This window comes from Homo sapiens, chromosome 3 (assembly GCF_000001405.40).
Source record: "Homo sapiens chromosome 3, GRCh38.p14 Primary Assembly".
Lineage (NCBI taxonomy): Eukaryota > Metazoa > Chordata > Mammalia > Primates > Hominidae > Homo > Homo sapiens.
Window position 1 is genome coordinate 112,351,675 of NC_000003.12, and position 26,059 is coordinate 112,377,733.

Below are 26,059 nucleotides of genomic sequence, written 5' to 3' on the forward strand. Positions count from 1 at the left end.
CTGAATGACTGGATTTTTGACTCATTTCTTTTCCATTTGTGTTGCTTACAAAAGTTACCTGAGGCTGGGTAATTCATAAAGAAAAGAGGTTTATTTGGTTTCTAAAGGCTATACAAGCACAGTGCCAACATCTGCTTCTGGTGAGGGCCTCAAGCTACCTCCACTAATAGCAGAAGGAAAAGGGGAGCCAGTGTGTGCAGAGATCAGATGGCGAGACAGGAAAATAAAAGAGGGTGCTGCCAGGCTGTTTTACCAGCTCTCATGGGAACTAACAGAGAGAGAACTCACTCACACCAAGGGCATTAATCAATTCCCAAGAGATCTTCCCCCCTTAAACACCTCCCATTAAGCCCCACCTCTAACACCGGGGATCAGATTTCAACATAAGGTTTGCAGGATCAAGTATCCAAACTACAACAACTGATTTAGAAATTTTAACAGCCAGATAATTTGGCATCATACACTTACAGCTAGTAAAACCAAGAGTCAATTATGCTGAAGCTTAAATGCTCAGGGCTAAGAAAATACTGGTTCATTTAGACCAAACTTCAGGTTATACAAAAAGTTGGGACAAAGAAAAGAGAAAGGACAGAAAATCATAGAAGATAGTGACACTTTTTATTTCTACCATTAACAAATTCTGATTGATATTTTGTGAGGAAGGGAAATAGTCCTACACATTTGCCTTCCAGTTGTTTTCATCCTTACTTTTCTTTTCTTTCTCTTTTTCTTTCCATCATCTGAAAACATAAAATTTCCAAATGAGCAGGAAAACACGATTGGTCCAAAATAATACAAAGGTTTTGAACTTGGTGACCTCAAAAATGGTGATGTGAACAGAAACACTAAAGTGAAGAGGTGGAACTGAGAGAGAGAGAGAGAGAGAGAGAGAGTGTTTAGAGTTTGTAGAAAAGCAAAGGAGACAGACGAATAAGTTTTTGAATTTATTGAGTGTGAGCAGACAAAGAATTATCTTCATGTAGCTGTCCAGTAGCCAATAATAAAAATCTGGTAAGTAAGGTAAGTCTGTTAAGTAAGGTCAATTCTGTGTTGGGTAAATGACCAAAACAGAAGTTTATTTTAGGTCATAATCACTACTCATTGCTCACAAATGCCTAAGCAAACTTACAGTTACTGATGTTATTTTTACGTAGAAGTTAGACGACCATTACTTTTCTTGTGATCCTGTATAATGCCAGAGAGCATGACGTTGGTTTTTTCCAACTGCGAAGTAGCACAGGCCATTTTTCTGCACCACTCCTGATAGAATTATCACAGTTACTTCCCAGGAGACTACCACAGTAAGACTAATAAGATTTCAAAGAGCATTCTTTTCTCTTTCATGAATCCAGCACTTTAAAACAGTAAGTGAGAAAGAATTAAAATTTCCTAGGGAAATTTTCCACCATCTCGAAATACTTCTTTCTATTAAAACCCAGTGATTTCATAAAGTTGTGCCTTTCACATATATGACAATGTAGTTAAATTTGGAGTTGAGAATAATCTTTTATTTCTCATTAGTCAACCCACCAACAATTACATGCTTCTCAGAAACAATAAAAGAAACTTCACTTTGAGGCAGATCATCATAGACAATCACCTAATTTTTAGGCAGCTTTATTTTGTTTGGTTTGGTTTGCTTTGCTTTGGTTTGGTTGAGTCAAGGCTGCTTTGGAGAACAATAGAAAATTTAGACAATCATGTAAAATTTATATGCCAAACTTCACTTTTTTTTCAAGTACTAGCTAATCCATGTAGAAATATGTTTTTCATCTGCATGAGCTGTATATTTATCTTGATTTCCTTCTCTTCACAATAACCTAACCTATGAATGGGTTCCTGACAATGTATAATAACAATGGCAAAGTTAATAAAACGTCATTTCCTGGATAACAGCATGTGACTTTCTCCTATTTTAAGCTTAATACTTAATACAAACAACAAAGGTGTTCGATAAACAATTTGTGATGATGTAATTGGTCATTAGTTGAAAGGGGAAAACAAAAAATATCTGTTCACCCCTCCTGAAATAACAACCTTTGCTTTGCTCAGAAAGCACTTTTGCTTCCCGTACAAAGGCTGTATGAATGGGTAGCCCTCTGTCCGGGCTGTATGAAATAAGAACCTTTGCTTTGCTCAAAAAGTACTTATGCTTCCCTGACAGAGGCTGGATGAATGGCACTACCCAACCCCACCCCAGTATCCTCATAGTTCCAGGAGGAAGAAATGTGATGCTTTACATGAGAAAAGCGATAAAGAATCTTCATTGAACTGCTTAGATTAGTATTGCTGGGAGAAATCTTGAATTCCAGGGCTATTTTTCCGCAAAAATTTTACAAATTTTGGGTGATTTACCTATCATGCCAAGATGACATACATAATCTTATCACAAAACCCTTAGCAAACAGATTCTTAATGCCTGGACATTCTTGCCTGGAGCTGTTCTTTGCTGTTCTCTCTAACATCTAAACCCACATGGGCATAGATGACCCAAATTTTAAGTTTCAGTCTGTATGTGGGGAACATCTCTAGGAATCAAGACATCTCAGTCTCCTGCCCAATAATTCAATGTGTGTTCAGTCCTCAAATGGCATACTCATTCCCTTGGCTTTTTGGCCATGGGGCTTTTCAAGGAGATTAGCTGTCAGTACCTGTTAGACTAATTAATGAAAAACAAAAAGGATGAGAAAATCTACCAGCTGAAAAATCCTCTAACATCTCTGCTCCTTTTGCATTTTAGTTTGCATATATCCTTTACCTAGTGTCTATTACCAGTTTGTTTTGTTTGGAACCGCTGTGCATTTCAGTAGTATAGTCACACCCATATAATAAGCTTGCCTCTAAACAGATACAAGGCCCTAGCCTCTACTAACAAAAGAAGCCAACTGTATGCTATTTAAACTGGAAAAGATTGGGCCACTTAATGAAAGTACTCAACATGGCTTACAGAGGGGGAAACATCATAAATGCTGTATTAATTTTCTATTGCTTCTTTACCAAATTATCACGCACTTAGCGGCTTAAAACAACACACATGTATTATACTACAGTTCTAGAGATCAGAAGTCCAACATGGGTCTCACTGGGTTTAAAACAAGGTGTCTGCAGGGAGACATTCCTTTCTGGAGGCTCTAGGGGAGAATCCTTTTTTTCCCTCTCTCTCTTTTCCTGCTTTTAGAGACTGCCCACTTTCCTTGCCTTGCATCTTCAAAACCAACAATGTCCAGTTGAGTCTTTTTCACACTGAATCACTCTAAATCTGAAACATTTGTCTCCTTTTTCCTTTATAAGGATCCTTGTGATTACAATGGGCCCAACTGCATAATCCATCTCAGGGTCCTTAATTTAATCACATCAGCAAAATTCCTTTAGCCATGTAAAGTAACATATTCACAGATTCCTGGAATTAGAATATGGATGTCTTTGGGGTGCCATTATTATGCCTATCACAAATGCTAAGAGGGTGTGGGAGTGACTTACTTAGAGGGACAGCTGTTTACTGACCTCCCAGTGGAAGCATTCTCTCTCTGTAATTCCATAGCCTTTGCTCTGTTCCTGGCAACTCTCTATCAAAGAACTTCAAAACCTGGTCAGAACCTCTGACCAGGCAAGGCTTTATTTTCCAGGATTATATTTTGTCTCTCAAATCTGTAATGCAAAAGCATCACTTCTGCTTTCCCTTGTTTTCTATCACTAACTATAATATTACAAAAACTTTTTTTTTCTTAGAATCTCAGTTCTTGCATATTTCCTGCTTCTCCCTATTCCTACCTTTTCATAGAGGAAGCAATTCTGACTTCCTTTGTCTTCGTCATAAGCATCCCGTAAACACAAGTTCACAGGGAACTGTGAAAGTTCAAAGTGGGAAAATTATATTTATCACTATGTGTGGTGATAGTAGGCATAACCAAATTGGTCTTTCCCCGCTTATCATAACGTATTAAACCGGGAATTTCTCAGTCCCTAATACTTGCAGAGTCATGTTATGAGGTCATTATAGATTTTAGGAGCCTCAATGCTTTTCATATCATTTTCAGAATTCTTCAAAATTCCCATTTATAGGCCCTAATTGATTTCAGCAGCCCAGATGCAGTAGAGCAGTTCTTCCACTAACAATTTTTTTAAAGACAGAGCTAAAAATATATATATTTGATGAAGTATATTAAGTAGAAAAAAATGTTAGAAATATCAGAAAAAAATTAAGAAATAAAAGTATGTTCAGTACAATTTAATTTGAATAATTTTAATCTCTAAAAATAACCATATTGTAAAAAAATACAATTTCTTCTAGTAAATAAAGAACAAATGAGATTTTGTACTACAAACATGCAAGACATGTTTTGCAAAAATCACAACTTCAATGTTAAGTTCCGCATTTCATGAGGCACAATTATGGAAATTTATCAATGAGAGGCTATTAAAAGAGAGCCTCTTGCCCCTCTCAGTATTCAAACTAGATAGAATTTCATGATGACTGACCAATGCTGCTAGTTCTGAGTCTCCGTGGACACTAGTTTATAAATACTCCAACCTTCTCCCTTTTTTATACAATAAAGAGAAATGCTAGCCTTGTGTTTTGAAAGTCCTTTAAAGAGTTCATGTTAAATACCTTTGGGATTATGTACACAATTGTCTTTTAATCTTTTTTAAAAATATTACTTATTATGAATTTTTGTTTTTATTTTTTTAATTGAAAACAGAAATTTTATGTATTTATGGTGTACAACATGATATTTCTATATATGTATACATTGTGGAATGGCTAAATCAAGCTACTTAACATGTGCATTGCCTCACATACTTATTTTTTTGTGGTATGAACACATAAAATCTACTCTGTCAGTAATATTCAAGTATACAATACATTGTTATTAACCGTAGTCACCATGTTGTACAATAGATCTCTTGAAGTTATTACTCCTTATCTAACTGAAATTCTTTTCATCTTAACCAAGGCCACATGAAATAAGAAACTGAATGTGATATTTATTTCTACAATATTTCTCCTTCAAGAGTTTAAAGTTTTCAACTGTTAATTTTAGCAAGGATGATTGCAAATGACATATAAAATTGGTTGTTTTCTAGTCAGTCATTTTTATTTGCAACAATGAACAATTACTTAGCGATTTTGATCAAATCCTGTCCTTTACAAACTAGCTGAGTACCTTTGGACAAGCCATTTAACTTCCCTGTGCCTCCTTTTCCTCACTGAGTAAGATGGGGATAATAATTGTAACTGTATCTCATAAGAATGTTGTGAAGATTTAAACGGGAATACATACAAGTGCTTAGAAAAGTGCCTAATGGCCGGGCGCGGTGGCTCACGCCTGTAATCCCAGCACTTTGGGAGGCCGAGGCGGGCGGATCACGAGGTCAGAAGATCGAGACCATCCTGGTTAACAGCGTGAAACCCCCTCTCTACTAAAAATATAAAAAATTAGCCGGGCGTGATGGTGGGCGCCTGTAGTCCCAGCTACTCGGGAGGCTGAGGCAGGAGAATGGCGTGAACCCGGAAAGCGGAGCTTGCAGTGAGCAGAGATCGCGCCACTGCACTCCAGCCTGGGGGACAGAGCGAGACTGTCTCAAAAAAAAAAAAAAAAGAAAGAAAGAAAGAAAGAAAAAGAAAAGTACCTAAAACGAATGATACGCTGGAACACTGGCCTGGGAGGAGAGGGGCGGAGTGTTTATTTGTAGCTGTCGCCAACTTCCGTGAAGTAAATGTTCCCACCATAGCAAATTTCAAGCTACTAACAATTTAACCATCAGCGTGAGCCAATAAAGCTCTAGCACACCAATGCGGCAGACTAAGTTTGTAACAGATGTTCATTTTTGTAATTACTAAATCTAAGGTCCTTTTTCGTTTTATCGAAGTATATTTTCATGAATTGTACAAATGTTCAAGGAAGGACGAGTTTAGAGAGGTAAATGGAGGGACAAACAGGAATTGTAGCAGTTAGGACAGCTTTGAGGAAGATTTCAGGTTATCTGAATCTGTTTGGACACATGGGCATGCGTATTTGGAAGGGAGAAGAACTCATACAGTAAGTCTTAATGTCATCAATAGGTTCTTGGAAACTGCGAGTTTAAGCAAAACGGCATGTAACAGAACCAATTTTACCACAGGCTAAATGATAGAAACAAGACTTAAGTTCCTATGGCATATTTCTAGTCACAAAAACATCACCAAACTTTTAATAAAGACCAAAACATTTCTAATATTAAACATTGAAATAAATGTGAGTTATGCATACATTTAAGAAACAGTAACAAAAACAAGTGAGATAATTATTCACTCAATGATTTCAGTTCAAGGGTATGGGTGGCCAGAGCCTATGCAGCTCAGGATGCAAGGCAGACACTGACACCAGACAGGACGTCATCCCAGAGCAGGGGGCATTCACACACGCGCACACACACGCACACGCACACACACACAGTTACTCAGACTGGGACCATTTGGACATGCCAATTTACATAACATGCAGTACGTGTTTGGGATGTGGGGGGAACCAGAGTATCCAGAGAAAACCCATGCAGACTTGGGGAGGATGTGCTAACTCCCACACAGTGGTCCTGGATGGGAATCTGTTGTTTTTCTCATCAACATTATAACAACATGTTGTGGAATGAAAGGATGTTGTTGGAGGACCTGCTATATAAGTCATTTCAGTAGCAGTCTTGGGAGAAATTTGTGGGGACCCACTGGGGAGACAGAATCAGAAAATGTGCATTCTAAAAACGTGCGTATACTGAAATGAACTTGTGATGCCTAGATGAACTTGTGATGCCGAAAACTGATTTCCTGCTAGTGCAGTTGTATCTCTTTTTGAAGAAGAGAAACTGTTTTGCTTAGACATTTTTTTTGTAGGAGTATGGGAAGAAAAATTACTCACTGAAGCTAGTGCGAGTCAAGGGTAGAGGGAGGGCAGTTCCTGTAAGGATGTGTATAAATGGATTTCCAGGAAACTAAACTGCCGCATGTCAGGAAGAGCGGCTACCTGAAGGTGCTTGTAGATCCAAAGCTGCCCTAGGTTCCCCATCAGCACTGATTCATGAGTTTTGCATCTAGTTTCTCCTGTCCTTACCACAACTTGGCTGTTCTGTCTTCTCTGCACTAAACAACTTCTTCACTCTCTATTCCATATGTTTTAAACTTATCTTACTATTTTTGTTCCCTCATACCTTGCTTCATAGATTACCCAATCCAACAAGAAACAAAAGAGAGAAAGAAAGAAAAGTGAGAGGAAAGAAAGAGAGAGAAAGAAAGAGAGAAACAAAACGAAAGTATATTCCTGAACCACACAAAAAGACAAAGAATCACATTCTCTACAAGTGTCCTGTGTTTTTGCAAATTAACCGGTACTTCAGGTAGTCCTTAGGTATTCTAGAGTTTAGAAGAATCCTAAAAGGTTTTGCTCTGGCAAGGGCTGTGAGTAAAGCATGGCCTTTGAGGCGATGGAGGGAGAAAGATATATAGAAACTTTATTTTAGAGAAAGGAAAAACTTCTTCAGACCAGATGCAGAATCAAGTAATCAACCATTCAAAGTCAGGCTTAATTTAAGAGCTTTTTTTAAAAAAAACAGACAAACAACAACAACAAAAATGTATACTAGTGATCTTTAAAGGAAACCATGCTATCATTTAGATTATTATTCTGGATTCCAGTCAGTAGTTAGGTCATATAAGAATTATAAATTCTGTTATTGGTAATTGATAGTTCAAAATGCATAGTCTCACCACTCAGGGAAAACAGCACTTAGATTTCAGAAGATAAAACTTTGTAAGTGGGGATGAAAGGAGGGCATGGAGGGTGTTCTTAAATATTTAAATGGATGTTCATGAGACAAAAGGACTAGACCTGGAAGTTATTACATTTAATTCTCATAGCAATTGATAAGGAAAGTATTTCCATCTGATAGGTGATAAAACCAAATTCACAGAAGTTCAATTCATTCATTTTATAAGTATTTATTAATAATTTTTAATATGCTTGGCATTGTAATTAGCACTGGTTATTATACTATAATGAACAAAACAGGACCTTGTCATTTTAATGGAGATGACAGGTTAGGGGGACAGCAGAGAAATGACAAGTGAATCAACAAATAAGGATACTATTAAAACACGAGATTTTAGCACAAGGAAATAATATAGAATAATATAAAATATAGCATGCAATGAAAGAGGATAACTTGAAAAGGATACCAGTTACTTGGATTTTGTTAGGGAAGGCTTCGCTGAGGTGGTGACTTTTAATCAGAGACCTTCAAGGAGAGAATAATCCAGCCATGGAGGAGACAAGGGAAGAGTGGTTTTTAGCAAATTAATTGCAAATGTGAAAGCTCTAAGGCAGAAAAGTCATTAATATTTTACAGGGTGCGGTGGCACATGTCTGTAATCCCAGCACTTTGGGAGGCTGAGGCAGGCAGATCACCTGAGGTCAGGAGTTCAAGACCAGCCTGGCCAACATAGTGAAACCCCATCTCTACTGAAAATATGAAAATTAGCCGGGCATAGTGGCATGTGCCTGTACTCCCAGCTACTCAGGAGGCTGAGGCAGGAGAATCACTTGAACCTAGGAGGTGGAGGTTACAGGGAGCAGAGATTGCGCCACTGCACTCTAGCTTGGTTGACACAGTGAGACTTCATCTAAAAAAAATATATATATATATGTATATATTTTAGAGCAGTGTTACTCCCAATATGGTCTGAGGATGGTTGCCCATCCAAGAAGTGTTCTTTACTAGTCTGAAGTAAAATAAGTACATAACTGAGAAAAAATGCTTACACTCTATGATAAGAATTTGACAGTAATTTTATATCTGTTAAATCTGATAATTTAAAAATGAATTATGTTATTTTATGTCATTTTTCTAGTAATTCGTTTTTACTATTGAAATTGAAAAATATTGAGCCATGTTGGGAGAAGATGGTCTTTCCATGGTCCATTGATATCTGATGTTAGAAATATTGGGCAGGATCTAAAATGTGCAGAACTTTGCAGGTTCTGGTAAACAATTACCTAAGATTACACAGAGAGTGAGAGGTGGTGCCAAGATAAAATTCCAAGTCTTTTACTTCATCGTCTATGTGCCTTGAGAGGTTTCCAGGCTCCCAGTATGTGCCAGAAAGCCACTAGCCCTTGGAAAGGCCTCTACTTCGTGACCATTTCTACCCTGACATCCAGTGAGTTATTATCCATCAGAAACAAAGCTTACAAATAGAATACATTTTGATCATTTGGAATTTTTGAACATATTCCTTTACTTGTAGTCTTAGGTGATTTTCTAAACCATTATTTCCTAGGATTACGTATGCCCTTTTATTTTTGCTTCAGTTTTGTTTTTGTTTTTGGTTGTTGTTGTTTTGTTGTTTTTAGAGATAGTGTCTTGCTATATTGCCTGGGGCTGGAGTGCGGTGGTGAGATCATAGCTCACTGCAGCCCCAATCTCCTGAGCTCAAGTTATCCTCACGCCTCAGCCTCCTGAGTAGCTGGGACTACAGGTGCATGCCACCATGTCCAGCTATTTTTTTTTTTATTTTTATTTTTTGTAGAGACAAGGTCTTACTATGTTGCCCAGACTGGTCTTGAACTTCTGGGCTCAAATGATCCTCCCGCCTCGGCCTCCTAAAACACTGGGCTTACAGCCACAAGCCACTGCATCCAGCCTACTTTTGTTCTTGTAAAGAGTCATAGTCCCCTCACACCATACTGGGTCAGAAATGTCTACTTCTTTATCTTTGCCAATGAATATACACTAGAATAACTCTGTGTTTCTTAATCTCTCTATTATTTATCTTCTTAAAATGTATTATGATAGAATTTACAAGTGTCCAAAGTTAATACCTTGTTTTTCTTTTATCCAGAGCCCTAAATAAGTCACACAGCACCCTGAAAGTGATTCCCTGGTCTACTTGAATTTGACACAAGAGAAAAGCAGGAGGAAAAGGGGCCATTCTCCAAAGGACCTGAAAGAGCAAAAGAGGTGGGAGCGAAAGCCTTAAGGATCCCACGACTTTTTACTGCCATCTGAGCTACTCAGTGTTTGAATCCCAAGAGGAAGTCAGTTTACCTCTCAGGTCTGTTGTAGGACTTGATTTTGTAAAGCAATGCCATGTTATGTGGTTGAAAGGGCACTGGACTTAGTTAGTATCAGGAGCACTGAGCTCACAGACTGACTTGGGCTCCTACTGGTGGGGACCTCTGTTAGTCACTTTACCTCATCCAAAGTATAAAGGAATTGGACCAAATAATTTACCACATAGCTCTAAAACTTAATTTAAAATGTAATTCCAGAAAAAAAAAGGGAATAAGCAAAGGGGGAAGAATTGAAAGAGAGAGAGAAGAAAGAATACAGAGAGCTTACCTTTTGCCTTTCTGTTGATGTTACATCTCTTCTTCCTATGTTCTTAGGTCTATGAGTCTGTTTCCCCATCATTTGGTATCTAGTCCAGTTCCTGCTTACTGCTTTGCTAATAGCTGGCCTTGCTAGAATCCTTGGTTTCACTGCTGTTCTTCATGTGCTTCTATGAGATTTACTCCAACACAAATAGGACTGAATTTATTGTGAAGTAACATTGGCAATCTTAACTTATTCATTTAACTTATTTTTATAGCTAGATAAATATTGTTAGTCTTAGACAATAGCTCACATTTTTTGAGAAGCATGCCCTCCCTGTCCATTTGTCTTATAACATGACCCAGCCCTATTTTACGTCATTCTAAATTCAGCCTCATATAATGAAAATACATTATGAAAACAGATGTTTAGGAGATTTCCTGTATAGCAGTCAGCCAATTCATATGCTTTGTCTCTGCTGGCTTCTTTTTCCATGCGTTAACTTTTCCCAATAGCAGAGGAGGCAAATATGAGCATACAATCCCTTTGTTCTAAAGATATTGTTCCAGCTAGTGGAATGATGTTGAATCTTTAATAACCATAATTAGTTGCTTTTTCAGTATCTTCTGCTTTGTCTGTGTCTATCCAGTGGCCTAGGAATTAAAGTGTAAGTTGTTTTCGCTGTTAAATTGGATATTTATATATATATATAGCAAGATTTTCATGTGTTATTTAATTCTGTATTGTTTCTTATATTTGTAGTAAAATATTGAACAATTAAAAGTGTTGACTCCAAATATTTGGCTTATGATATTCTCTTGGGAAATGTGGAAATGAATGATAATCCTTGTCTTTTCCCATCATATGTAAAACCCTCCCCTCCTCTCTATCTTTCCCCTCCTAAAAGATGAGCTGGGCTGGGCGCGGTGGCTCAAGCCTGCAATCCCAGTACTTTGGGAGGCCGAGGCGGGCGGATCTCGAGGTCAGGAGATCGAGACCATCCTGGCTAACACGGTGAAACCCCGTCTCTACTAAAAATACAAAAAATTAGCCGGGCGCCTATAGTCCCAGCTACTCGGGAGGCTGAGGCAGGAGAATGGCGTGAACCCAGGAGGCGGAGCTTGCAGTGAGCCGAGATAGCGCCACTGCACTCCAGCCTGGGCAACAGAGCGAGACTCGGTCTCAAAAAAAAAAAAAAAAAAAAAAAGATAAGCTGGTGTTTCTGACTAATCACAAAAACACAAATCAGATGTCTGGCCGGTGTGAGCTCCTTTGAGTTGGTGCCTATGTCCTTTTGACATGACCCTGTCAGTTCTGCAGCACTTCTTTATATGTGTTCTTTTGATTTTGCTTTTAGATACCAACCTTTGCAGACAGATTAGCTCACATAGTTTTGAATTTAGTGGGAACCAACCCCTTGTATTTTGCTGTATTTCTAGTATCTCTGCTAAATTGGTACTAGATCAGGCAGGATGACTTAATGCAACAGTTCTTAAACATTTTGGTCTTAGGACCCCTTTATGCATTTGAAAACATCATTGAGGATCCCAAAGAGCTTTTTCTGTAATGTGAATTATATCTGTTGATATTTATCATATTTGAAATTAAAACTGATAAAATTTAAATACAAAAATGTGTAACCATATATCCTATTAGCCATCAGAGTGATGCCAACATCAAACATCATATAGCTTCTGGAAGACTTCAGAGCACATTTATTAGAGAATGAGAGTGAAAAAGTCAAATAATTTATTGGTGTTATCATGACAATAATTTTTTGATTATGTGGACCCCCTGAGATGGTCTTAGGGACAATGCTAAAGACTACTGTTTTAAAGTATTGGCAAAGAAGAAAACCACCTTATGGGAAGATTTCATGAGTCTTTCTCAAAGGAACTCCTTGCTAAACATCTATCTTCATGGTACCTAAGCATTTCACCTTTTAACCAGGACTTTAGGCCATTGTATTACTGGGAGCTCCTCCTCAAAATGCAGAGAAAGCTCAAAGACTAATTTTTATCTATTGTTAATAATTCAATTTAAATTGGCTTATTAAATGGCTTTTCAGTTACTTTTCAGGATGTTGAGATACTTGGACTTAGGATAGGTATGTTTTATGGGGAAGACTTGGGAGGTTATAGAGAAATAAAGGGGAGAAGGAAAGGGTAATTGAGAGCATGCCTCTCTGCTGAGAAGGTGGCTCCATGTGGAACACCACAGCCTTGCTTTCTCCTCTATGTCTCCTGCCCTCTCACCCTGGCTGGCTGCTCACCAACCCTTCCATACTTATCCTAAACTTTCAACTATGGGTGCTTTTTTGTATTTGTGAATTAGAAAGAGGTAGCTTGGGCTTTGCATATTTAAGCAGATTGGGAAAGTTGTAAACTTTTGAGTCCCTTAGAATAACTCAGTCATGTATTTCTCTTCTTAGTAAAAATTCAGAAAAATTCCAGAGTAGTGCAAACCTGCTTAGAGAGAGGAGAAAACAGAAGAAGACTGTTGTGTTTAACTGAAACTGAAACTGCAAATGAAGGGGTTTTTTTGTCATTTTATGTTTTCTTTTTGGTTTGTATTCCTCAATCCGTGCCTTGATAACAATTCATAAATCTAGGTTCAAAGAGTACAAAATCCATATTACTACTAGGAATCATAAGGCTTTGATTAAAATAATTTTTTTGAACTTTCTTCTATGGCTATTCTGAGCTCAGAAAGAGTATTTTATTTAATTTTTGTTGTAGAGACAGGGTCTCACTGTGTCACCCAGGCTGGAGTGCAGTGGTGCCATCATAGCTCACTGCAGCCTTGAAATCCTGGGTTCAAGCGATCCTCCTGCCTCATACTCCTGAGTAGCTAGGACTACAGGCACACATCACCATGCCTAGCTAACTTTTTATTTTTTGTTGAGATAAGGTCTCACTATGATGCCCAGGCTTGTCTCAAATTCCTGGCTTCAAGAAATCCTCCTGTCTGGGATTAAAGAGGTGAGTGACTTTGCTCGGCCTTTGCCTTTTAAAATAAAGCTTCTTAAATTATTTCTTCACAGCGGTGATATTTTTATTTTTTGTTTGTTCTCAAAATATTCCAGATTTGATTTCATCCTTCCCTCCACAGTTGCTCAGGCTAATAATTCACTTGCACAAAGTCACATAGAGCAGTGACTCAATCCAAGCAAACCAACATTTACACAGATGTCATAATCATTTGTCTTGTGAGGTCCTGAAGGTAATTAACCCCATTTTTGTAGGTGTGAAAAATCATACTTTTCAGTGACTTCATACTTTTCAGTGACTTTCATACTTTTCAGCGACTTTCTTCCAGTAGCATTGTAAATGTGTTTTTGGCCAAAACTCCAACTCAGAAATCCCAGCTTCCTGTCTAGTGAACTCTCTTTTCTGCCCACCCTGCAGTGATTTATCTCAATCTTACTTGCCAGCGTAACCTATTTGTTCTGTACTTATATTCAGAATCCAGCTCCTACCTCCATTCTTACACCTGACCCAAACCATTATTATTTGTTTCCTAGATCATTGTTATTGCTTTCTAATTAATCTTCATGCTTCCGTGTTCTTCCTCTTTCAGTCTATTCGAAACATAACTGTTCTAAAATATGTCAAGTCAAATCACATAATTCTCCTGCCTAAAATTTCCAAGTGCTTCCCATCTCACCTAGAATACAAGCCAAAGTCTTTACGTGGGCTATAAGGCTCTAGACAATGGGCTCACTGATAATCTCTGAAGTCACCTCCTACTCTCTCTCCTGATCACTAGTCTGCCGGCTATTTCACCAACATTTCAGACATGTTTCCATCTCAGAGCCTTGGCATTTCCTCTTCTCTCTGCCTGGAATGTTCTTTCTGCAGGTACCTGCATGGCTCATATGACTTTTCCCCTGAAAAACACTCCATAGATACCCCAAAGATACTTTAATACTTTTAACCGGACTCATATTAGTCTAGATAGTGGGACACTTATCTCAGAAATTTGAAACTCAAAAAGAGAGAGAGTTGTGTGTTTCTAGGAGTAGCTTTTATGTTCCAGTGCAGTTACAGAGGCACTGAAGCCCAGCTGCTCAGGTGAAGCATTTCAATTACCACATGATTCTGGATCTGGTTGTGTTTAGCTCAGTAACTTGTATACATGTTAGTTTATTTTCTAATAAATCAGAGACAATATTGCAAATACATTCAGCCCTCCCTATCTGTGGGTTCCACATTTGTGGAGTCAACCAATCACGGATAAAAAATATCTGAAAAAAAAAACAAGAATAAAAATAATACAAATTTAAAAACAATACAGTATAACAACTATTTGTATAATATTTACATTGTAATAGGTTTATAAGTAATCTAGAGATGATTTAAAGTATGTGGGAAAATGTGCATAGGTGATATGAATATACTATGCCCTTTTATATTAGGAACTTGAGCATCTGCAGATTTAGGTATCCATGGAGGTCCTGGAACCAATCTCCTGAGGAAACCGCTCAGCAGAGAAAACCATTTCCTAAGTTTATATATCTATATTCAGGACCTGAGAGCTTACCAAAACTTTCCTGAATCGCTTTACCTTATGTGAGGTTCAGTGTTCCCATCACTGGTGTTTGATGTCCCTCCAACTACTTTGGCAGTGAGAAGGTACTCATCCTGTTTGAGAGATAATATGCACAGTTTTGAGGTTACACTTTATTCTGGAGAATCCCTTTTCCATTGCATAGATTTCCCTTGGCTAGAGTTGTTTTGTTTTCAACAGCATGTTTTTTAGCTTTGGATCTTGAGGAGAGAGAGCAGGAGAGCCAATAAACAAGTCTGGGGAGGGGAACGTTTCCAGATACGTCAGGTTAAAAATAACAAACCAAAAACCATGAACCACTCATTACAAAGCCAGATTTGAATGAATTTCCATTCACTCTCATGAAGTTTCAAAAGCTAAATATATTGGAGAGAACATTTCAACAGTGGTGAAAAGATGAAAAGAAAGAAAACAAGTAACTTTACATGATTGGATCACCATTTTTGTTTCATTTATTTAACCAAGAGATGGAATAGAGGTGCTGATATTATTAGGTGAAGGTTGTGATAATTTTATACCAAATAAATATATAATTTTCTTGTCATAAACTTTATGTTTTAATGAGTGGTTTTCATTAGAAAGTGACACTGCATTTCTCATCATTAGATTATGTGTTTCTGCCAGTAGCAGTTATGTTGATCAGAACAACAGCATGTGTCTCACAATAGATAGCATTTATCAAGCACCATTTTAGGCATCTCACTGTACTGGGTCCTGAGAGGTATTTGCAGAGGAAGACACTACTAAAAATCCTGGTTCTGAAGAAATTAAATATTTAATAAAGGACGAAATAAATCTACCTGCATGTATTATTTAGAAATGACTTGTGGAAATTCATGAAGTACTATCATGAATAGAAAATGAAATTCAGAAATATGTTATTTGTTGTTTTCTTCTTTCTCTTCCTTCTTTCCTTTCCTTCTTTTTTCTTTTTTCTCTTTCTTTCTTTCTTTTTCTTTCTTTCTTTCCCTTTCTTACAGAGCCTCACTCTTGTTGCCCAGGCTGCAGTGCAGTGGCACGATCTTGGCTCACTGAAACCTCTGTCTCCCAGGTTCAAGTGATTCTCCTGCCTCAGCCTTCCGAGTAGTCGGGATTACAGGCGTGTGCCACCACACCCAGCTAATTTTTGTATTTTCAGTAGAGACGGGGTTTTGCCATGTCGGCCAGGCTGGTCTTGAACTCCTGACCTCAAGTGATCCACCTGCCTCGGCCTCCCAAAGTGCTGGGATTACAGGTGTGAGCCACTGTGCCCAGCCAGAAATATGTTTATTATAATTCAATTTATATTTTGATTCTACATAATTACAGATGTAATGCTATGATATTTTGGGTATGGATGATAGGGAATAAAATTGGCATACATCGATCGTTGTTGAAATTGATGCCTTTATATTCTCCTCTTTATTTTGGTGTATGTTTGAAAATCTTATAATCCAAAGTTTAAAAAATACTCATATCTTACTTTGCTAAGCAAGAACACTAGTATCTCCTTTTTTTTCACAATATATTCAACTCTGCCACATTTTCATCTGGTTTCCAAATAAAATTTTTTCTCAACAACCTTGAATTCCATTACTATAGACTTCTATCAATGAAAACAGAATGCCAAACACTCTGCACTCAATCATTCATCAAAGCATGGGTGTTAAAATGAGTATACAACCATTCTCTTGAGAAGTATCATAGTAGGAAAGAGCTGACAGAAAGTCCGTGTACTGATGCAGTTTGGGTAAGCAAACAGAATATACTTTTGGATTTAGAAAAAAAATAAGTGTGGCCAGGATACATAGCACAGAGGTTTCCAATAGTTTCTCTTACCAGTTGGTGTGACTCTCTTGACCACCAATGATTTATCAGAGGATACACTATTGCAGACAATCAAGTTGAAATGATACTCTCTTCACACCTCTGGCAGCATCACTTCTTCCTCTATGACCAGACTATTCCTGCTCATGGCTTGAACTGGATGCAGGTGGGAGGTCACCCATCTGCGCAGGTGCCTCATAATTTCTGGAGTTATGCTACTTACCACATAATTGCAAAACTTTTAACACATATTTTATTTATCATCCTTAGGAACTCCAAGCCATTATAGCCAGTTCCTGACACATTTTCAAATTCAGTACTGTTAAATCAGACATAGTAGTCATTCCTTTACACTCACTCCTGGCCTCATTTGACAGTGATCCTAAGGGACAATTGACTGAAAACACAAAATCCATTTAATTGGCATTTATTCTTGAACCACATGATCTTAGCCCATTACGAAATTGCTTATACTCCTTGCATTTCTGGAACAATGCTACAAGAAGCATTTTCAGGCATTGTCAATGTATTTGCTGAAAAATGATTCTGAAGTTAAAGTACGTTATACTTCTTAGTGTTCCAAGTGAAAACCAATACTAGAAAAACTACTTTCCTGAAGGAATTGGCACACTCTCTACTTTAAAAAACTTTTTTTAAGTTCCGGGGTACATGTGCAGCATACGCAGATTTGTTACATAGGTAAACATGTCCCACTGGGGTTTGCTGCACCTATCAACCTATGCCCTAGGTATGAAGCCCAGCATGCATTAGCTCTTTTTCCTAATACTCTCTCCCCTCCACCCAACCCTCCCCTGACAGGCCCCAGTGTGTGTTGTTCCCCTCCCTGTGTCTCCTTTTTTATTCTAACTATACACAATCATGTGTTGCATAATGATGATTCTGTCAATGACAGACTGCATATTCAACAATGGTCCCATAAGATTATATAATGGAGCTGAAAAAATCCTCTCACCTAGTGGTGTCATAGCCATCATAAGGTTGTAGTGCAATGCATTACTCACAACATTTGTGGTGATATTAGTGTATACAAACCTATTGTGCTGCCACTTATATGAAAGTATAATACATACAATTATGTATAGCACATAATACTTGATAATGATAACAAATGATTATGTTACAAGTTTATGAATTTACTATAGTATACTTTTTATTGTTTTAAGAGTACTCATTCTACTTTTAAATATATAGTTAATTGTAAAACAATCTCAGGAAGGTCCTTCAGGAAGTATTCCAGGAGAAAGCATTATTATAGGAGACGACAATTCTTTGGATGTTATTGCCTCTGAAGATCTTTCAGTGGGACGAGATGTGGAGGTGGAAGAGAGTGATATTGATGATCCTGACCTTGTGTAGGTCTAGGCTAATATGTATGTCTGTGTCTTCATTTTTAATAAAAAAATTGAAAGAGTAAAAAAAATTTAAAATACAAAGTGTTCATACAATAAGAATATGAAGACAATATTTTAGTATAGCTGCATAATGTGCTTGCATTTTAAGATAAGTGTTGCCACAAGAGTCAAAAAGTTAAAACAAATTAAAAAGTTTATAAAGTAAAAAAGTCATAGTAAGCTAAGGTTATTTATCATTGGAGAAAAATTATTTTTATACTAGATGTACAGTATTTTTTAGTCTACAGAAGTCTACAGTAATATCCTAGGCCTTCCTATTCACTCACCACTCACTCACAGACACCCAGAGCAACTTCTAGTCCTGCAAGCTCCATTCATGGTAAGTGCCCTATACAGATGTACCATTTCTAAATCTTTTCTATCATATTCTTATTGTACATTTTCTATGTTTAGATATGTTTAGATACACAAATACCTACCATGATGTTACCATTGCCTCCAGGATTCAGAACAATAATATGTTGCACAGGGTTGTAGCCTAGAAGCAATAGGCTATACTAGATAGCCTAGGTGTGTAGTAGGCTATACTATTTGGTTTGTGTAAGTATACTCTATGATGTTTGCCCAATGACAAAATCACCTAACGACACATTTCTCAGAGCACATCTCCAATATTAAGTAATGTGTGACTATAAATGACTAATTTTCCTTCTTGCCTTGATGGTCAAGAAGCCAACGTCCGATTAAGATGCTTCTTGCTGATTATTAAAAATAATACATGCTCATTATAAAAAATTGTTAAGTACAGAAGAATAAAAATAAAGGAAGTAGAGACATAAAAAATATTAGTCCATTACACCACCATCCAGAAAAGCCACCATTAATTTGTTTTAAGAGCCAAATATGGTACTCAGTCAATGGAATTTATTTACCATTATGGTTGGTACATGATTGCTCACCTTTTCTTGGTTCCAATATTCCCAGGTGACTACTTTTTAAGTATATATATTTTGAAACTGCTTCGAGTTACTTTGGTGAAAATAAGGGGCAATCAAAATTAATCCTTAAATGAACAAATATAGTGGAAAATATGAGGCAAGCATTTCCAAGTCTGGGTTTCCTGACATAATATCTACCCAACTATGTGATTATGAGGATTCATCAGATGAGTCCCTGGTTACACATAGAAAACTGTAAAGTGCTATAAAATAATAATAATTAAAACAGCTAACATTATTGATCACTTTACTATTTTACCAGATGCAGTGTTTATTGCTGTTCATACTGTGTCAATTAATATCCATGACATCTCTATAAAAAGGTACCCTTATTTCATTTACAAAGAAACAGCAATAACAAACCCTAGATGCTCGGGAAGGCTAAGTAATTTCTTCAGTTATAAAGCTAGATATTACTAGATGAAAAGAATTTTGATGTGTTAGAAATTTTTGAAGTGATTTTAATTAAAACCTCTTTGCGAATGTCTCCAGGAAGTAATACCTGAAGTCCAGCCTTTAGTCATTAAACAGTCCACTTCACTAGTTTGTAAGGTAATGAAAGAGTAGATTGAGGTCATGTTTGGGGTTAGTAGTATAGCTACGTAGAAATATCATTCCTCTATTAGAAGAAACAAATAAAAGTGAGAAGGACACCTAACTGACATATTCAAAAGTTTGATGGTGAGCAATGAAGCACAGAGAATAAATGAAGAATCCACTTCAGAGAACTGAAGAAGGAGGGAATGGAGTGAAAAGAGAACTGCTTCTATCCTGAGATAGACTCAGGAGGTAAGAACTACTGGCTTAATCACATGGTTGAGCATTCATTCCAACTAATATTTATTGAGCATCAATTATGAGAAAGGTATTCTGCTTGGCTCTATTGATATAAAATAAATAAGACAAGATGCTTTCTCTAGAGATGCTGTGGGAAGTCGTCATATAAACTGTGACAATGTTGGACTACAGGATGACAAATATTCCAGGCAGAGAGATCAGCATATGCAGAGGCAGGAGGTGTGGAACACCAAGTGAGGCTAAGGAAGGGAAGCATTAGGCTGGACGTTAGGGTGGGCAGCAGAGAAAGGAACATGCAATGTACTGGAAACATAGGCTGGGTTCACACCACAGAAGGCTGTTCCAATATAGGAAGTGTGCCTTTGCATTTTGACCCTGACACTAAAAGGATGTGCGATCTAATGTTAGATGAATTCAATTGAATTGGTGAATATTTCCCTCAGTCAGATATCTGACTCCGTAGACTCAGGTTTATTCTAAAGACAGAAATTTGATATATTTCATTCTGGTCAATGGCAGGCTATATCAAAGGAATAAACAAGGAAATTTCTTGGTTTTGCCATTGTTTCATAGCACAAAGGGGACAGAGGAATTGGGTGATATATTCAGTTTCTGTAATTTTTGTTTTATTTTATTTTTTGTTTATTTTATTTTTTGTTATATATTTATTTATTTTTATTTTATTATATTTTATACTCAGGGGTACATATGCATGTTTGATACACAGATATATTATGTACTATTGGGGATTGGACTTCTAGTGTACCCACTATCCAAATAGTGGATTTCCTGTTATTTTTTTCCACATTGAATCGTATATGGGCCCCCATCAGATAATAGTAAAATCATTGAGCTAAGAGGCCTCAGAACTATCATGTCTGACCCCTATATTTTACAGATGAAGAAATACATTTTACTCAAGATTACACACACAGATAATGATGCAACTTTGGTTTTGGCTGAAAGGTCTTCATGGGTGGTTTCATTCAGAGCTGTCAGGAAAGGAAGCAAAAATTCTGAAAGAGTATGAGGTGGAATATTGAATTTCATTGCTTCATAAATCAGTCTAGATTGTTGTGTTCCTTATTCAGCTGTTCATGGGAATTCCCACTGAGGCAGTTGAAATAGTTGAGAGACAGGTGACTATGCAACAGGACTACATACACCGAAAGAATGGTCAGTTGCCCATACAACTTAATTTAATCCTGAGGACCAGTATCTTCAGGCCTTTCTCAAGCCTAGGTTTATATATACTAATTCTGTTTGATGATATACTGTCATTGGGAACGCCCGACTTTATGCCTGGGTGGATCAATCACACAGTTCATAATTATGGGCAAAAAGTAACTTGGTATCCCAATGATCAAGGACTTCCAGGGCTCAATTGTAAGCCAAAAGCTGTTTCTCAAAAGGAAATAATTTCGTTTTTCTGAAAATGTGTATGGCTTCACTCCAAAACCGAGCTTTGAACTGTAATTCTTTTTTTCTTTTCTTTTCTTTCTTTTTTTTTTTTTTTGATGGAGTCTTGCTCTGTTTCCCAGGCTGGAGTGTAGTGGCACAATCTTGGCTCACCTCAACCTCCACCTCCCGGGTTCAAGCAATTCTCCTACCTCAGCCTCCCAAGTAACTGGGATTACGGGTGCCCACCAACACACCCAGGTAATTTTTTTTTTTTTTTTGGTAGAGACAGGGTTTCACCATGTTGGCCAGGCTGGTCTCAAACTCTTGACCTCAGGTGATCCGCCCACCTCGGCCTCCCAAAGTGCTGGGAATACAGGCGTGAGCCACCACACCAGCCAAATTGTAATTCTTCTGTTGTGACTTGCCCCAGGCTCCTTGCAGCATCCTATTTGACAGTTTGAGCACAATCACATCTACCCATGCACCCTCTTTCATGGGATCCATAGATCGTCTCCCTGTCTCTGCTCTGTTCCTTCTCTCTCCCCACACGTGTGCTGATTCACTTTACCCAAAAGCTTGAGATTTTAGCATTTTGTAAAATAAGAATAAGTTACTATTCTTTTTCCCTCGCCACATCCTTTTCCTGAGGCAGTGAGCAAAAAGACCCCACCTGTTATAACGCACAAAAGGGAAATGGTAATGAATAGGAAGTAAAAATAGACGCTAACATTGTAATATTATTTTGGCACATGCCTGGAACATTGTAGAGCTTCAGTAACATCAGCCATTTTTTCCTTAATATGAACAAGAGGAAATCTAACAGCTTCTTCAACCATTGAAAAAGCAGTTCTATGAAAGAGAAAATAGATGTGTTCATTGGAGGTGGTAGTGGGTTGAATTGTATCCCCCCAAATATAGGTCTACATCCTAATCCCCAGAACCTATGAATATGATATTATTTCATAAGTGAGTCTGTGCAGATATAATTTAAGAGTCTAGACATGAGATCATTCTGGATTATCTGGGCATGCCCTAAATCCAGTAAAAAGTGTCCTTATACGAGACATACAGAGGACAGGAGAAGGCAATGTGACCACAGAAGCAAAAATTAGAGTGATGTGGCCACACGCTGAGGAACATCTGGAGCCATCAAAAGCTGGAGGAGGTAAGAACAGACTGCCCCTAGAGCCTTTGGATGGAATGTAGTTCTGCAAACACCTTGCTTTTAGAACTGTGAGAGAATAAATTTCTATCATTTTCAGCCACCATATTTGTGGTCATTTGTTATGGCAGCCATAGGAAACTAACACAAAGATCCAGAGAGCAGGACCAGAACCAAAACAGAAAAAGTGAAAGATAAACTTTCCTATTATTGAATCTGCTCAAGAGTGTGAGAGACTGAGTTATGAAATAGTTGGCTTCAGTAATTGGAGTTGGGTTTCAGTGGTTCAATGGTCAAAAGGGAGAGAGGCTGGTGACAGGGCGAGATCTTATCTCTTAAAAAAAGGGAGGAAGAGAGTTTATTGGGTGGAACTGGAAATTTTTATAAACTCATGCTCTTATTTATTCAGATTTACATATTCCCGACCATAGTTTTTTGGAAGCGCATCTCAGGAATTCCCAGATTTTACTCATGCTGTTGCCCATAACCTACGGTGTGGTTAAGAATAATACAATTGGTCCAAACAGGAAGATTAGTTTCCAGGGAAGGAATAAGTCACTGTTGATTATGCCAGGAAAATAGGCTGGAATCATCAGGCAGAGCTTCGCATCTGTACAGCTATCTCCCTGCAGCTGATTTATCTAATGCTTTCTATGATTGCAGACGAACAGACTTTCCGATGGACAAATAAAGAAGCTGCCTTATTTATATTAATATAACCTCTTTCTTTGAACCTCTAGCCTGCCTGGGACACAAAATCACATAGTTTCAAATGACATTAAAGTTAGCTAAGCAATTTTTCTTGCCATTGAGAGAGTAGAAAATTAATACTTTGAATCCAGTTAGGTTACCCTGTTAGATGACTGTTTGGAATCCACAGGTAGGAGTTCTTAACCTGGGCTCAGGGGCATACATAAGGGGACAACTCCACGGTCCCCTTGAAATTCTAAGCAATTTTTTGCTTTCTAGAAGGACTCTAGTGACCTCCATATCACTAAGTTTAATGATTTTTCTTTACCTCTTCTGTACATGTCTCACATTAGACTCTTTCTTGAAATTCATTGTCATCTGTAATATGATGTGCCCTTGATTTTCTCATCTTTCCAGCCCAACCTCCTGTACTTAATTTTTAAATTTTGCAATTCTCGAAAACTTGGATAGAGGCTGTCTTGTTTGCTCATAGTGTACTCTTTCCCTGTGTGATCTCATCCATGCCATGTCTTCAGTTATGATCTATACACTCACAAGTCCAAAATTACTACTTCTAACTCCTTGGAGCTCAGATATATGTATCCAGCTGTCTACAAAACATCTCCACTGGCTGACTTACAGGCAACTCAAACTGAACAGGTCCAAAGCTGAACTCCTGGTCTTTCCCAGTCCCATAACTGGTCCTCCTCCAGTTTTCTCTATTACAGTGAAACAGGAGAGTTCCCTGATCCCCCTCGAAGGACATATGATGGGTGTGGCTCGCCTGTTCAGTCACCAGCACTCCTCAAACCCCTTAGGGGAGGGGGAGCACACAGACAGGCAGGTGAAGGAGCCTAAGTGGAGTGTGTTACAATGTGCCCTTTTAGCCTTGCCATCCACGAATGGCTTGGGTGTTAATCAGCTCAGTGGACTCTCTGCCTTTCTGCAAGGGCAGAGGGGCAGTTCAACAGCTTTCTGTGTCCTGAGCTCTTGCCCAGCATCTTGGAAAAATCAGGTCACACACGGGCTTGAAGGATGAATGAGAGGTTTTATTGAGTGGTAGAGGTGGCTCTCAGTGGGATGGATGGGGAACAAGAAGCAGGGAATGGAGTGGGAAGAAGATCTTCCCTGGATTTTGGCCATCTTGTGGCTGAACCCTTCTCTGACCACCCCAGCTGGAAATCTCTCAGTGTTCAGACATTCCTCTTCTTTTCTCTTTCTCTATTGCACCATTTTGCAATCCATCTGCTTGTCTCCTCATCTTCTCATCTGCTTCTGGAGCCTGGGGCTTATATGAATACAGGATAGAGGGCATGGTGGGCCAAAAGGCAACTTCTTCACATGAAAACAGAAATGCCTGTCCCCATTTAGGACCACAGGACTTCAGGCTTGAGATAGGGGCCTTTGCCAGGGAACCACCCTCTTCTACCTAGTGTTTCCCTGTTTCCTGTCCATATCAACAGGGGATGGTGTCATCATCCATTTGGGCACAGGGTTCACTAGAGGGACAGGACTAATAGGATAGATGTATATATGAAGGGGAGTTTATTAACAAGTATTGACTCATGCGATCACAAGTTGAAGTCCCACAGTAGGCTGTCTGCAAGCTGAGGAGCAGGGAAGTCAGTCCAAGTCCAAAAACCTCAAAAGTAGGGAAGCTGACAGTGCAGCCTTCAGTCTGTGGCCAAAGGCCCAAGAGCCCTTGACAAACCACCGGTATAAGTCTCACAGTCCAAAAGCTTTAGAACTTGGTGTCTGATATTCAAGGGCAGGAAGCATCCAGCACGGGAGAAAGATAAAGACCGGAAGACTCAGCAAGTCGGCTCCTCCCACCTTCTTCTGCCTGCTTTATTCTAGTCTTTCTGGCAGCTGATTAGATTGCACCCACTCAGATTGAGGGTGGTCTGCCTCTCTCAGCCCACTGATTCAAATTTTAATCTCCTTTGGCAGCACCCTCACAAACACATCCAGGAACAGTACTTTGCACTTTTCAATTCCATCAAGTTGACACTCAATATTAACCATCATACACACAAGCCAGAAATCTGGCAGGAATGCATAATACTTCCCCATTTGTTTCCATTTGATGAAATAGGACTTTGATCAAAGCCTTATTACTGTAACATCCTAAATATAAAATATACATCTCTGCATCTCTACTGCTACTGCCTTTATTCTAGACATTATCATTGCTTGTCTGAAATATTGCCAATCCATTCTTTACAACACACCCAAGTAATCTTTCTAAATTCTGATAATGATGTTACGTAACTCTGATTCATATTCTCCAATGGCTTCCACTGTTCTTAAGATAGCTAAGATCTGTAACAGGGTCAACAATCTGGCCTCTAGCCACTTTATCAGCTTCATTTGATACTACTTCCTCTGACTCTGTGCAATTCACCCATGATGACTGTGTCAGTTATCTAATGCCATGACTGTGTTATAAACCACCACCAAATCTCTGGGGCATATCACCACCATGTATCACTCATGTATCTAGGATTCTACTGGGGATTTGGGGATGAGAGGTTGGTCACAGAAAGCAAATTATCTCTACTTCATGTTTCTGCCCTCCTCCTGCTTTTTGAGCAACTTGGCAGAACTATGTTGACATCAATTTCTTTTGGAATTGTCAACACAAAAAAGATTTTACAGAATCAAATTTTAGAAAATAACTGCAAAATAAAACAAATTTTTTAAGGAGAGAGGAAGGAGATGATGCATTTGCTATCTCTTTATGAGCCAGATACTGTGCTATGAACTCAACTTATATGGCTTTATCTTTGCAATGAATCTACAATATTGTACCACTATTCACATTTTACAGGGGAGGAAACTAAAGGTCAGTAGGATTAAATAAATGCAGTTCTCAAATTTCACAGTTTGACTTTGATATAACCCACATTTTCAGTTTTCCT

At 38.2% G+C, this 26,059-nt stretch overlaps 1 protein-coding gene and 1 long non-coding RNA gene across 11 annotated transcripts in view, besides 2 other annotated features; one reads left to right on the forward strand and one right to left on the reverse strand.

The window, feature by feature from the left end:
* The window catches only part of CD200 (CD200 molecule), a 30,240-nt gene extending 19,102 nt beyond the window's left edge, over nucleotides 1-11,138 (forward strand). For all 10 annotated transcript variants that reach the window (NR_158642.1, NM_001365854.1, NM_001365853.1 and 7 more), the window contains one exon: nucleotides 9,869-11,138. Coding sequence is in view for 9 of the 10 variants with exons in the window: in NM_001365854.1 (NP_001352783.1) it covers nucleotides 9,869-9,876 (8 nt within the window). In the remaining variant the exon portion in view is untranslated. The remainder of the gene's footprint in view (nucleotides 1-9,868) is intronic.
* Nucleotides 3,085-3,714: an enhancer, noted in NCBI's record as "OCT4-NANOG hESC enhancer chr3:112073606-112074235 (GRCh37/hg19 assembly coordinates)". NCBI's record gives its function as "activates a minimal SCP1, AML or CMV promoter by ChIP-STARR-seq in primed H9 embryonic stem cells {active_cell/tissue: H9 hESC(primed)}" and the evidence as "EXISTENCE:reporter gene assay evidence [ECO:0000049][PMID:30033119]".
* Nucleotides 7,088-7,157: an enhancer, noted in NCBI's record as "active region_20238". NCBI's record gives its function as "activates an Ori minimal core promoter by ATAC-STARR-seq in GM12878 lymphoblastoid cells {active_cell/tissue: GM12878}" and the evidence as "EXISTENCE:reporter gene assay evidence [ECO:0000049][PMID:35858748]".
* Nucleotides 11,139-24,166: 13,028 nt separating the features above from the next.
* Nucleotides 24,167-26,059, reverse strand: part of LOC105374041 (uncharacterized) — a 28,575-nt gene continuing 26,682 nt past the window's right edge. Inside the window, exon 4 of the long non-coding RNA XR_924334.3 lies at nucleotides 24,167-24,426. This is a non-coding gene — a long non-coding RNA (uncharacterized LOC105374041). The remainder of the gene's footprint in view (nucleotides 24,427-26,059) is intronic.